General features: G+C 39.0%; 1 protein-coding gene and 1 long non-coding RNA gene across 5 annotated transcripts in view, besides 2 other annotated features; one reads left to right on the top strand and one right to left on the bottom strand.

The window, feature by feature from the left end:
- XPO7 (exportin 7) overlaps positions 1 to 14982 on the bottom strand; it is an 86924-nt gene that overhangs the window by 47367 nt on the left and 24575 nt on the right. The window lies entirely within an intron of this gene.
- On the top strand, positions 946 to 14611 carry LOC124901903 (uncharacterized). The gene is made up of 2 exons (XR_007060847.1): positions 946 to 11132; positions 12331 to 14611. It is a non-coding gene; the product is annotated as an uncharacterized LOC124901903 (long non-coding RNA).
- Positions 9478 to 9978: an enhancer, noted in NCBI's record as "H3K4me1 hESC enhancer chr8:21806752-21807252 (GRCh37/hg19 assembly coordinates)". NCBI's record gives its function as "activates a minimal SCP1, AML or CMV promoter by ChIP-STARR-seq in primed H9 embryonic stem cells {active_cell/tissue: H9 hESC(primed)}" and the evidence as "EXISTENCE:reporter gene assay evidence [ECO:0000049][PMID:30033119]".
- Positions 14022 to 14655: an enhancer, noted in NCBI's record as "NANOG-H3K27ac-H3K4me1 hESC enhancer chr8:21802075-21802708 (GRCh37/hg19 assembly coordinates)". NCBI's record gives its function as "activates a minimal SCP1, AML or CMV promoter by ChIP-STARR-seq in naive H9 embryonic stem cells {active_cell/tissue: H9 hESC(naive)}" and the evidence as "EXISTENCE:reporter gene assay evidence [ECO:0000049][PMID:30033119]".

Genomic DNA, 14982 nt, shown 5'->3' with positions numbered 1-14982 from the left:
AATGCCCTTTCCCCTGTAGGGCCAGGGGCATCAGGGATCAAATATATAATTGATCCTCGTTATTCGCAGATTCTGTTTTGTGAATTCACCTACTCACTAAAATGTATTTGTAATCATCAAATCCATATTCGCTCAGGGTGCTTCTGCAGTCATTCATGCACGTGGACAGAGTGGTCAACAATTTGAGTTACCTGACTTACACAATCCCAGCTGAGGCTCAACACTGCCATGCTTTGCCTCTTTTTTTTTTTTTTTTTGGAGACAGAGTCTTACTCTGTCACCCAGGCTGGAGTGTAGTGGCGCGAACTCGGCTCACTGCAACCTCTACCTCCCGGGTTCAAGTGATTCTGCTGCCTCAGTCTCCCAAGTAGCTGGGATTACAGGTGTGCGCCACCATGTTCGGCTGGTTTTTGTATTTTTAGTAGAGATGGGGTTTTCCCCATGTTGGCCAGGCTGGTCTCCAACTCCTGACCTCAGGTATTCCACCCGCCTCAGCCTCCCAAAGCACTTGGGATTATAGGCATGCGCAACCATGCCCGGCCTTGCTTTGCCTTGTTTCAGCTTTCACACTAAACAACTGTAAGGTCCTTTACGGGTTTTTTTTTTTTCACTGCCATGTTTCTTGCAGTTTTGTGCTTTTTGTCGGTAATTTCACTGCTTAACATGGCCCACAGAGTGCTGAAGTGCTATGTCGAGTTCCTAAGGGCAAGACGGCTGTGATGTAACTTATGGTGAAATTGTGTGTGTTAGATAAATTTCATTCAGTCATGAGTTACTGTGCTTTTGGCCATTAGTTTAACGCTAATAAATCAACAATATGGTTTAAAATATCTTTAAACAAAAACACAAATAAAACATGGTTACATATTGCTTGTTTGACGCAAATGTGGTGACTAGCAGCTGGCCTGAATCTAACCCTATACTTCCCCTAGGAGCAATGGGTCAGTATTTGCTAATTCAGTGTTCTCGGTGACTTTACAGAACATGACAACAAGGAATAATGAGGATCAGTTTTATTTCTGGCACCACTGGGTGGGATTCAGTACATACTTCTCCATAGAAACATAATTATATTTATTGCCACTTTTTAAAGGTATTTGTTCAAATAGAAGTATTTGTTAGCCTATGTAATTTCCATATTAATGTCTGTACAACTGTCTCAAACGTTTGCTTAAATCGCCATTTCTATTAATTATGCATGAATTATGACTTTTCATAATTCTTGCACTTAGGAACTAGACATAGACAGCACTTCAGCACTCTGTGGGCCATTTTAAGCAGTGGAATTACCAACAAAAAGCACAAAACTGCAAGAAACATGGCAGTGGGAAAAAAAAAACCCGGAAAGGACCTTACAGTTGTTTACAGTGTGAAAGCTGAAACAAGAAGGCAAAGCAAGGCCAGGCATGGTTGTGCATGCCTATAATCCCAGTGAGCACAGTGCATGGACTGGGATGGAAATGCAAAGTACAAGAGTGTCTGGCACACAGTAGGAGCTTCATAAGAACGTCTTAACATTGGATAAGTCTAACTCTTAAAGCTTCCAAAGGAAATTCATATTAAAATGGCAGATTGATCACATATCTAATTTTGTTCCCTCCCCAAACCCAACTAACACAACACTAAAGGTATTCAAAACAAAACCAAGCCCTAAACCCTCAGGATCCCACAAGGATAGATAGGGAAGACAGGAAAGAGGACAACAGCAACATAATTTTGGGATACAGAAAAATCAATGGTAACTGACTTAAATGAACTAAGAAAGCCAAATCCCTAGCCAGCAGTGAGAAAAGCTGAACAAACTTCATTTATGCTACATGCTCAGATGTTAAGGTGAAGTGGGGTGGCCCAAAGAAGGAGAAACAGGGTGAAAGTATCTTTGAGAAGTTAAGATTCCCAGATAGTCCTCCTCACTGTATGCCTCTCAGTAACTGTCCCTCTCTTTGGACTGAGAGACACCAAGCCAGTCAAAAGCACATCTGAAGCTATGGGCACCCTGTAACAAATAGGTCAATGAAGTGGGAGTGCCGCTGAGTCTTCCCTCACTAGGATCCACCGAGAAATTTCAGTGTGCAGACATACTCTTTAGGCAGGAGTTTGGAAGATTTTCCCGAGAATCTCATTAGCTACAAAGCAAAAAGTTGCAGATACACTAATATGCAGGTTACTCCACAAATGGCACACCTGATTACTCTCCCATGATGCCTCAGCAGACAAGCCTCGCCACGCTTTCAGAGGTTCCAGTCAACTCTGTATTATCTTAATCTTGATCATGAGCAAATAATCAAGTATTATCAGAAATCTGAAGAAAGCCTTTAACATGGAAGATAGACAGCTAAACAAGCATGCAAAAAGCAATCTGGAACAAGTAAAAACTATATAGGGAGAAGGAAACTTGACCAAAAAACAAAAGATGAAAACATACAATTAAGCCCAAAATTGCAAGTGTGGAATAACAGGATGCACAAAAAGAAAAAAAAAAAAGACATTCAAAGAACATAAAAAGAGATGTTAGAAAATAAACATATGATGACAGAGACAAAAATATTCTATTGAAAGGTGGGAAAATAAAAGTTAAAATCTCACAGACAACAGAGCAAAAGGACCAAGAGGGAAAGAGCAAAGTTTAAAAAAATCAGAGACCCAGTTCCATAGGCCTAACATCCAATTAACAGGAGTTACAGAAAGACAGAACAGAGAATGGTGAAGGAAAGGAAGTTATCAATAAAATAATTTGAGATAACTTCCTAGAACTGAAAAACATCAGTTGCCAGAATGGAGTGTCCACCCAATGCCAGCATAATACATGAAAGTCAACCCACACCCGAGGCACACCACTGGGAAACCTCAGAAACCTGATGACAAAGAGAAGATTCCATATGCTGCTTTTAGCAGAGAGAGAAACACAGAAAACAAAACAGGATCAGGAATCACATGGCTCTGGACATCACAAAAGGAACACTGGAAACAAGAAGCCAACAGAACAATTCCTGCGAAATCCTCTAGAGAAAGAGCTCCAGCATAGAAGGCTATACTTAGCCAAGGAAGGAATCATGTGTGAGTAGAACAAAGTTATCTTTGGGGGTGTAAGGCCACAAAAATCTATCCTCCATGCTCCCCTTTTTGAAGAGCTACTACAGAATATACTTCACACCAAAGTAAAGTGTAATTCCATAAAAAGGTAAGCACGGGGGCTGGGCGCAGTGGCTCATGCCTGTAATCCCAGCACTTTGGGAGGCTGAGGCGGGTGGATCACAAGGTCAAGAGATCAAGACCATCCTGGCCAACAGGGTGAAATCCCGTCTCTACTAAAAATACAAAAATTAGCCAGGCACGGTGGTGGGCACCTGTAGTCCGAGCTACTTGGGAGGCCGAGGCAGGAGAATCACATAAACCCAGGCAGCGGAGGTTGCAGTGAGCCGAGATTATGCCACTGCACAACAGCCTGGAGACAGAGCGAGACTCCATCTCAAAAAAAAAAAAAAAAAAAAAAAGGTAAGCACAGAATACAGGCCATGAGTTATATGGCCATGCTGATCCTATGAAACCCAACAGAGAAGAGGGATATCAAGGAAACCCCTGGAAGGACGGCAAAGGGCCCAGGACAACAACTGTGAGTTGGCCATTAAGAGCATCCAGGCCTTATTCAAGCAATGTGGCTTCAGGGACAAGTCATGTTCACAGAATCATCACCAAGATCCCTGCCACCACTGCCTACTTTAACCTGAGGACAGAATACCTGGATGAGAATTCTCATTTAAGATTTCACCTTAATCCGTGTTGAAGTTTACTGTACAGAAAAGCCCTCAATTGACAAACACTGTACTTTAAATTTGGAAAGTTTTTCTACAAAGGTGCACCATCATTTTTAACTAATGTTCCAAAGACAAAAGACAGTTTGAGTTCTGATAAGGAGGAAAAAAAACCCCATATACCTGGCTTTTGCCACCTTCACTCCTTCTTCATAAAAAAGAAAGTTGTTTAATTCCTTTTATGGAATTGATTCTGCATGGACAATATTAAAAGACCAAAACAACGTACTCCACTATGAAAATGGCTGAGTATGAAAGATTATACAGGCCAGGCAGATTACTTGAAGAAAGAATGCCAATATTCAGCTATTTGAGAACCCAAATTTGCAGTGTTAAACAACCATGTATGTAAATAAACTTTCCTGCTATATTACCATTTCCCTAAAAACTGCATTTTTATAAGCAGGTCTATACTGGAAGAACAATCCTGTAATAGCTCAGTACTCCTAAGAATGTTAACCAACATCTCAAATAACTTAAATTGATGTGATCAACTTAATGTCTTATCAATTTTTTCCTTACAAATAGTGATGTTTACCATACAGCAAACAAGGTCAAACAACTGACTTCTAAAGTTCAGAAAGTGATAACCTACTGGCTAGATATTAAAGCAGTCAAAATATGAGAAAGAGTTGTATAAACTCACTTCATTAAGTTCTGGTTTCCAAGAGCTATTTATTTTTGAGTTCTCATGTAAGCTACACTGCAGAGGGACACTGTTGGGCCGGTGCACATTTATTATTTATTTATTTCATTTATTTATTTATTTTTTTGAGATGGAGTCTCACTCTGTTGCCCAGGCTGGAGTGCAGTGGCAAGATCTCAGCTCACTGCAACCTCCACCTCCCGGGTTCAAGCGATTCTCCTGCCTTAGCCTCCCGAGTAGCTGGGATTACAGGTCTGTGCCACCACACCTGGCTAATTTTTGAATTTTTAGTAGAGATGGGGTTTCACCATGCTGGTCAGGCTGGTCACGAACTCCTGACCTCGTGATCCGCCTGTCTTGGCTTCCCAATGTGCTGGGATTACAGGTGTAAGCCACTGCACGCAGCCCACATTTATTATTTTAAGTTTATGTTTTTAGGATCAATTTGATACAACATTCAAACCGGATTATTGGGTGTATTTTGTACAGAATCCTATTAAAACCTCCATTTAAACACTGCGTTATATATAGTAGAGCAAAGGAAGCGATCAAAAACACACAATCACCAATTCTCTGAGGCCACCTATCACTAAGCTCCATCATTATGTTTTACAATGACTAGATAAAAAGGATTTCAGATTCAAACAATTGTACTTAGGTTTATTATCAGGCTAGCCAAATACATAAACTGGCCCAGAGAATTATCTTCCCCAGTCCCCCTCTTCTTTCTATATGTTACTAGTTCTTAAAATTTCCAGGATAGAAATTTCATTTACAAACAGAATCTAATTTGCTTAAGAAAATGAAAAGACTAGTTACCAAATGGGAGAAAACCTCTGCAAAAATCTGATACAGGACTGATATCCAAAATATACAAAGAACTCTTAAAACTCAACAATAAGAAAACAAACCAATTAAAAAAGTCAAAAAGATCTGACCAGACACCTCACCAAAGATACACAGATGGCAAATAAGCATATGAAAAGATGGTTAACATCATGTATCATCAAGAAACTGCAAATTAAAGTAACAGTGAGATACTACTACACACCTATTAGAATGGCTAAAACCCAAAACATTTATAACACCAGATGATGGCAAAGATGTGGAACAACAGGAACTGTTGGTGAGAATGCAAAATGGTACAGCCACTTTACAAGACAGTTTGGCAGTTTCTCACAAAACTAAACATACTCTTACCATATGATCCAGCAATTGCGCTCCTTGGTATTTACCCAAATGACTTGAAAACTTATGTCTACACAAAACCTGTACACAAATGTTTATAGCAGTTTTATTCATAATTACCAAAACTTGGCTACAAAAAGACATAGAGGAACTTAAATGCATACTGCTAAGTTTAAGATGCCAATCTGAAAGGCTACATTATTGGGTGATTCCAACTACTATATGACATCCTGGAAAAGGCAAAACAATAGAGACAGCAGAAAGAGCAGTGGTTGCCAGGAGTTTGCAGGGGGGGAGAAATGATGGTGACAGAGGCAGGGAGGGAAGGATGAAGAGGCAGAGGCAGAGCACAGGGGATGTCTAAGGCAGTGAAACTGTTCTTTATGATACTGTAATTGTAGATACATGTCACTGTAAATTGTCAAAACCCACAGAGCACAACACTAAGAGTGACCTTCAGTTGTTAATAATGTATCAATACTGGCCCATCAATTGTTAATATACCATACCAATGCAAGACGTTAATGGGCGGGGGCAGGGGTGGGGAGAGAGGGGGAGGGGCGGATAACAGGGTATGTGAGAACTCTGTACTTTCTGCTCAGTTTTTCTATAAACCTAAAACTGCTCTAAAAAATAAAGTCTAGTAAAAACATCTAATTTGCCAGTTTAAGAAGTCCTATTCTTCCTTCCGCAGTTTGATCTTAATGCTGGCTAGTTTACTAACCAATATTTAATACTAAAACATGACATTTTGTATCTTAGCTTTCATGCCCAACTCCCACTCCCTACCACCTGACAGGGCAACAGAATGGTTACAATTCTCTAGCTGAAAACACAGGCGTTATAACACTGACATTCATTGTCAAAGCCAACGTAACCAAGCGTGGCTCTCTGCCATTCTAAACTAGAATCCATACTGTACTTATCTGGTATAAAATATTTTTCTCCTAGAGGATCTATATAGAAAGTCCTTCGATTAGTTAAATTTATAAAGTCATTTCAAAGTAATGCTCATATTAAATAACCTACTGTTACTTTTCTAAATTATTGCCTGCCATCCATCCAAACATATGTCTCTACAGATAAGTCAGCAAAGTATACTTTAGTTTGCTGTATGAGTCTTCTATTTTATATAGCTTCTCTGGTGTTCTACCCTCCTTTCAAAATTCTGAATACAATTCTGACATACTTCAACAGTTGAAAACATTTTCTCTATAAGTTCCTGCAGCTCAATCAAGCATTTGCTTCCATTAAAAAAAAAATACAACACTCATTCACCTGAAGAACAGGGTTGATACTAAATTGTAGATTTGTTGCTACCTATCTACCTAGCAAACTGTGTAACAAAAAAGTCAGTGTGCAGCATAGCAATACATTTATTTTTGAATATTCCTAATAGTTTTCATTTACAAGCTTGTTGCAGGAAATGACTATAGTTATTTTACCATCCCTCACATCCTAAAGTGGCATGTTTTTTGAGCCAAAGTTTCACAAAGGAAGAAAGCAGGCCATCCTAGGAAAGGAGAGAAGTAACACCTGCTGAACAGGTCATTAACGCCACATTTTTGCACAATGTGGGGATGGTACTGGATTTTTACTGAAATTGCTGAGACTGGGCTGGTTATCACCAATCCCTCCTATCTTGATTAACTGCTGTGTCTCTTCATCACTTCTAGGGATTCACACTGTAGAGACAGCATTAGGATCGACAGCTGTAAGACTCGTAATTAATGTAAGACTTTATGTAAATTCCAGTACCATACATACTCTTCATAAAGAATTTTCCAAAATACTGGGCTGAGAACGTGAGGTTCTGAAAAACCTTAGCAATAGTTGGGAGACAATAACAAAACAGTTGACAACACACCTACACGGCTATTGGTTCTTCTAAGTGTGACCAGATGCTGATAAGCTGCATTAATATTCAAACAAAATGGGCAGAAAAGCAGGCTACTGAACATGCAAATCAGAAAAGGGCTTTAACTGGTGGTTTTATGTGCAGCTCTGCCCTAGACTATTTATGTGACTCTGAAGTCCCCTAATTCTCGAATGTTTCTATTCCATTACATGGGAAACAGGATCCATACAACAACAAATATCTGAGTACCTTTGTGCCAAACACAATTCTAAATGGTTGATTAAACATATTATAATAAATTATATGGTATGTTAGCAGGTGATAAATACTATAAAAAAAACAGAGAAGAGTAAGGATGATTAAGAGTATATGTGGGTATATAATAGAAGTGTAGGTTGCAGTATTCAAAAGGGTAATTAAGGTAGGCCTCATAGGTTTAAAAAAAAAAAGACGTACTTAACCAAAGAGGTGAGCATATCTACCTATGTCACCTAACAAGGATTCTCTCTGGATAATGTCCACCAAGTCCTCAAAAAGGAAAAACTGTCACTTTGCTGAGTACCAACTATATGCTGATCCCTGTGCTAGGTACTTCCTTAATTAATTAATTAATTAATTAATTAAATTTACTCGCTCTGTCGCCCAGGCTGGAGTACAGCGATGTGACCTCGGCTCACCCCAGCCTCCGCCTCTTGGGTAGCTGTGATTACAGGCATGCACTACCGCGCCCAACTAATTTTTTTTTTTGTATTTTTTGTAGAGTCGAGGTTTTGTTATGTTGGCCAGGCTGGTCTCAAACTCCTGGCCTCAAGTGATCCACCCTCCTCAGCCTCCCAAAGTGCTGGGATTATACGCCAGGCTCTAGATACTTTATATATACCTCATTTTCTATATAAATTTACGGTAGAATATAAAAATCCCATTGGTATTCTCATTTTCTAAGTAAAAGGTAAATATAAATTTTATACAAATTAATTCAAGGAAAGGCTTCTGAAAAACAAATATGAATATATATGTATATACTATATGTTTTTAATTCACAGAACTCTTTTAAAGTTAAAGTAACAATCATCTGTTGCAAGATACATCAATTTGAATTCATCTAAGGAAAGTCCATATAATATTATTTGTAGGCTAATAAAGACAACTTGAAACTAATTTGACAATCTAGCAGCTTAAGTGAAAACACCACTAATGTTCCCCAAAACAGACATGATGCAACCTAAACATGTCAACATAACCTCACCAACAAATCTTACTCATTTGATGGGGAGAATAATTCTCACTTTTGTTCTCTTTAGAAGAACAAAAATTAGCTCCTATAGTTTAGGAATATGAAATAGTCCACCAATGAATGGCACTAAAGCTAATTAAACCTTCAGGTGTTTCTTTGAAAATGTCCTTGAACGTCTATGAAACAAGTGAGATTAAAAATGACCTTAAAAATTTATTTTGGAACTTAAATTTCTGTTCCTGCTTTGGTGATTAGGTTTAAAGCAAAGTCCTTACAACTACCCACACTCTCTTCAGAAACGTAAAAGATTTCCCAAACTACAATACGTTAAATGTTTACCTGCAAATCTCTAACAAAAATGACCAACAGTGGTCAGTCAAGTTCAGAACTGAACAATACCTGAGAGCAAGAGACTGAAGACACCAAGGCCAAGTGCTTTTTAAAAACACAGCCTAGGGCCCAGTACGGTGTGTCACACCTGTAATCCCAGCACTTTGGGAGGCCAAGGCAGGCAGATCACCTGAGGTCAGGAGTTCAAGACCAGTCTGGCCAACATGGCGAAACCCTGTCTCTACTAAAAATACAAAAATTAGCTGGGTGGTGTTCCCCTGTAATTCCAGCTATTCGGGAGGCTAAGGCAGGAGAATCGCTTGAAGCTGGAAGGTGGAGGGTACAGTGAGCCGAGATGGTGCTACTGCACTCCAGCCTAGGCAACAGAAAGAGACTCCATCTCAAAAACAAACAACAACAATAACAACAACAAACAGCCTGGCCATGACTGAGCTTCACCTGACTCCTGGCAGAGGGCAGTGGCTGCCATGCCTTTGTTGTTATATGGGGGAAAGAAAGTCATGAACCACGTGGCCTTTAACACTATAGGTAACACTCCCATAATGTTCACCATATTGCTCTTCTAAAACTTCTTCCCCCACCACATTGCTTTTAACTGAATTCTTAAATGTTAACCCATTCTGTAACTACTCTGACACAATTAATGCATAAAAAGAATTTCCATCTGAGTGGCAATAATGGGAGAAGTATCACACATAGTAAGAATCCAAGAATTATCAGTGCCATGCTATCAGTATGTAGGCTTCAGACAAGGGCAGCTATATGGGCAACTGCCTCTAGGCAGGCAATGGGCTAAGAATGCCTGGGGCAGTATTTTGATGGCTGACAGAGCAATAACGGAATCCCCATGACTCGTGCTACCCTAGGAAGTAAAGTCACTTAATTATAAATGCAGAAATTAAACTTCACAGGGTGAGAATAAACAATTTTATGTATAATGTTAATTTCTGGAACTAATGTGTCAGTTCATGAGATTTTTCTGAAAAATGTGATACAACAGTAAAACAGAAACTAGAAGTAGGGTTATCATTTGAACAGAGAGATTAACAAACCTTTAGAAAACTAAGTTCACTTGTGGAAACTTTCATCTGTTCTCATCTTAGGGCCCGTAACTTGCGATTGCTGCCAGAAGCCCACAGACTGAGGGGCATATTTCCTGGTAATGACTCAAGTAACTATGGATGAGTCTATACATTCAGTAGCTATGCTCTTTAGGGTGACTTTTTAAAGGATCCTTGGAGGAACCAAATGGTTTATTTGAAATAATCCCACATCTATCTAGTCTGAGAATGTGTCATTCCTAAAACCTGTGATGCCTTCTGGTGTGTAAAATGTTAAATGAATTCAGGAAGATTCTGGCATAGATGCTTTTGATAGGATGATGAATTCTGGCCTCTCAATACTTATTTTTCTGGTGAAGGATGAATAAAAAAACAAAACTAGAAAAGCTCAATTCCTCATATCAGGTTGAACCACATGAAAAGGCCAAATATCCAAATATTTTTGACCTGTAAAAATGACAATTTTATGTGAGTCAATCTAGTATATAAAAACATTTAAAAACTCCTTTAAAGTATAGTCATGCCTTGCGTTATCGATGGGGATACATTCTGAGAAATATAGCCTTAGGCAATTTCATTGTTGTGTGAACATCAGAGTGTACTTACACAAATCTAGATGGCATACCTGCAATACACCTAAGCTATATGGTATAGCCTACTGCTCCTAGGCTACAAACCTGTACCACGTTACTGTACTGAATACCTTAGGCAACCGTAACACAATGGTCTTTGTGTATCTAAACACCTAAGCAGGTATGTTTAAAGTAATATGTTGTGCTATGATGGCTATGTCACTAGGCAACAGGAATTTTTCAGTTACATTATAATCTTACGTGACCACTGTCATAAATGTGATCCATCGTTGACCAAAATGTCACTATTCAGTGCATGACTGCATTGTGAAATCTGCGCTCTGCTTCTAATTAAGGGTTGGGTTTCACTTTTAGGTCAATATATGAGAGTAAGAGGTATTACAAATTTGGTAAGTAATCTGACTTTGAATTAATCTATTCTAAACTTACTCTCTCATTACTCTTCAATGAGAATCCTCTGGTCTCTCTGGTTTTCAAATCCACTGTGCTCCTTCTTCCTCTGGGCTTTCAAACATGCCATGTTTTTTTATTTTTTGTAGTTTTATCCTATAGTTCTATCAGTTTTTACCGTATATATTCTGAAGCTATTTCACAAAGCACATACAACTTGAGAAGCTCAATCTTTTGTTATTTAGTGACTTGTAATCTGTAAAGGCCTCTGTCAGAATGTGTTATAAATCTTCCCTCCCACTTTGTAGATTGCTTTTTCCCTCATATGCTCATCTTTTGATGAATATACGTTCTTAATTTTAACACAGCCTAATTTATCATTATTTTCCTTTATGATTAGTGCTTTGCTTGCCCTGTTGGAGAGATCTTTTCCTATCCTAAAGTCATAAACATATTCTTTTATATTATCTTCTAAGAGCTCTGTTTCTTTCGCATTCACCCAAGATGTAAAAACCTCTTAAATATTGTGTATGATGTGTGTCTATGTTGCAGGGGTAGTGGTGATGGTATTAGTAAGGTTGAATTTCCTCTACGGTATTATTTTCAATTCACGCAAACTGGCTTTTCATTTTGAGGTTAATATTTGTGATTACTAATATACCTCAGACCCCTCTGTCCCTTCTTCCTTTATGTTGTATTTGTTCTATTTTTCTTTTTTAAAGATGTTTTTGCTTGTTTTTGAATTCCATTTTTCTCCCCAGTACTAGTTATCACATATTCTAAAAAAAAGTCCAAAATTAGGCAGTGTATCTTATCCCTCCCCTCTTGAGTAACAGTGATCTTAGAAGATAAACTCCCATCAGTTGTATCCTGTGTTACGCTGTTACTGTCCCTTATTTTGGCTTTGTCTCCATAGCCCTAAACATTAGATAATACTATTATGTCATACGATGTTTAGATTTACCTATGCTTACCAATTTCTTTGGTCACCTTTGCTTCTTTCATAACCAAACACTTCTATGGCATTTTCCTTCTTTAAGTATATCCCTTATGGAAGTTCCTTAAGTAAAGATGTGCTGGTAGTAAACTTAGTTTGTGTTTATCTAAAAATGACTTTTAGTGCCCTCATTCTTGAAAGATAATTTTGTTGGGCACACAATGCTAGGCTGACATTCACTTTTCTCTTTTGGCTTCCAGGTTGCTGTTGAGATGTCTTTATCTGCCAGTCTGTTCTCTGCAGGTGATGTTTTCTTTCTGATAAGATGTTTTGTCTTTATTATTTGTGGCTTTACTATAAAGTGTGTAGGTATGAGTTTTAAAATTTATCCTGTTTTAGAATCGCTTGAACCCAGGAGGCAGAGGCTGCAGTGAGCCGAGATCACACCATTGCAACTTCAGCCTGGGTAACAGGGCAAGACTCCGTCAAAAAAAAAAAAAAAAAAAAATCCTGTTTTGCATATGTGGAACTTCTTTAACTTAGATTCATGTTTTTTTTTTTTGTTTTTTTTTTTCAGTTCTAGAAAAGCCTCTCCTCTAGTGTCTTTCTAGTTATTTCGTGGTATCTTACCCTCCATGTCTCTTAACCACTTGCAGTTTTCATGTCCTTTGTCGCCCCGTGCTGTAATCTGAACAGTATCTTCAGATCTTCTAGTTCTCTTCTACACTATCTAATATGCTAATCTATTCACTGAGTTTTAAATTTCACCTGTTATATTTTAAACTTATATTTGATTATTTTTCAAGTATGCCTTGTTGTTTTTGACGGTCACTTTTTGGTTGCTTATTTTTCCTTTTAAATATTATTTTGTTAAGCATTAACTTATTTTATAATTCTGTATCTGATGATTTTCCAGTATCTGAAGTCAGTATCCGAAGTGTGAGCGTGGGAGGATGGGGTAACCTAAACCTGCTACTTACAGTTTGTGCTGAATCTCTTCTATGGTGGCTTTTTCCATGCAGATGCATGTGTGTGTGGTAGTTTTTGTTTATAAGCTCATCATATGTTGACATAAATCTATGGAAATCCCGAGTACCTCCATTTTCCTGTTTCTGCTAGTGGCTATGGGGAGCTAACAACTCCAAGGTGCTTTCTAGGATCCTGAAGTCTCAGCTTTGGCTTCCTCATCTGGCAGTGGGCATAAGGGTTTCATGTTGGCATTTGACCCTACAGCAATTTTGACTTCACTACTCCCAACACTCCAGTCTGAATAGGTTCATTTAAGTTAATTAATGGGTGTGAGGGTATTGAGATTTCCCTTATTTCTTGCAAGCTTGTCAATGCATTAAAAAAGGAGGCTTATTCAAATTTAAAGAGGATCTACTTATATTACAGTGATAAGGCACTTCAGAATAATTGGTTTGCCATACAAAAGGAAATGGAATTCTTACACATTTTTGCTCCCAAGGAATTTTCCTTACTTTGAGTAAGGCCGACTATGTATTTAAAAGGATTTGTTTCAATATTTTATTTACTAAGCATTTTGGGGTGTTGTACAGTAGGAGGATTTTCAGATAACGTACCATGCCACATGCTAAAAATTTCATAAGGCCTATTTTGTCTCAAACATGTTGTTAAACTGTATCTTTCCTGTTTTACACCTATGTAGTTTTTCCATACCTACCTGCAGGATCTTGCATTTGTCTGTATAAAATTTTATCTTGTCAGATTTGGAGAACTGTTCCAGTATAATTTAGACATCTTTCTAGCTCTTATCAAATAATCTACCCCCTCTGTCTATGACCAGCATGTTAGACTTCTATTCCAGCAGTTTTTTATATGAGTTTCCTTTGCGATTACAGATTAAAGGATAATTCCTTTGAGATTAAAGGAAAGAATATTCCTTGGGGGGCAGCCCCCGCCCGGCCGCCACCCCGTCTGGGAGGTGGGGGGCGCCTCTGCCCAGCTGCCCCGTCTGGGAAGTGAAGAGCCCCTCTGCCCGGCCGCCACCCCGTCTGGGAGGTGTACCCAACAGCTCATTGAGAACGGGCCATGATGACGATGGCAGTTTTGTCGAATAGAAAAGGGGGAAATGTGGGGAAAATAAAGAGAGATCAGATTGTTACTGTGTCTGTGTAGAAAGAAGTAGACATAGGAGACTCCATTTTGTTCTGTACTAAGAAAAATTATACTGCCTTGGGATGCTGTTAATCTATAACCTTACCCCCATCCCCGTGCTCTCTGAAACATGTGCTGTGTCCACTAAGGGTTAAATGGATTAAGGGCGGTGCAAGATGTGCTTTGTTAAACAGATGCTTGAAGGCAGCATACTTGTTAAGAGTCATCACCACTCCCTAATCTCAAGTACCCGGAGACACAAACAATGCGGAAGGCGGAAGGCGGCAGGGCCTAGGAAAACCGGAGACCTTTGTTCACATGTTTATCTGCTGACCTTCCTTCCATTATTGTCCTATAACCCTGCCAAATCCCCCTCTCCGAGAAACATCCAAGAATGATCAATAAATACTAAAAAAATTAAAAGAATATTCCTTATTTTTAAATTTTATTTTATTATTATTTCTGAGATGGCGTCTCACTCTGTCGCCCAGGCTGGAGTACAGTGGTGTGGTCTCAGCTCACTGCAGCCTCCGCCTCCTGGGTTCAAGTGATTCTCCAGTCTCAGCCTCCCGAGTAGCTGGGATTACAGATGTGCACCACCACGCCTGGCTAATTTTGTACTTTTAGTAGACATGGGGTTTCACCACGTTGGCCAGGCTGGTCTCGAACTCCTGACCTCAGGTGATCTGCCCGCCTAGGCCTCCCAAAGTGCTGGGATTACAGGGCCACCGCGTTTGACCCTTATTTTTTATTTTTGATGGCATGTGGAATATATAACTCATGGGAGGTATTCA

Source organism: Homo sapiens, chromosome 8 (assembly GCF_000001405.40).
Source record: "Homo sapiens chromosome 8, GRCh38.p14 Primary Assembly".
NCBI lineage: Eukaryota > Metazoa > Chordata > Mammalia > Primates > Hominidae > Homo > Homo sapiens.
Note: the sequence above shows the minus strand (reverse complement) of the source record. Positions and strands in the feature narration are given on the sequence as shown.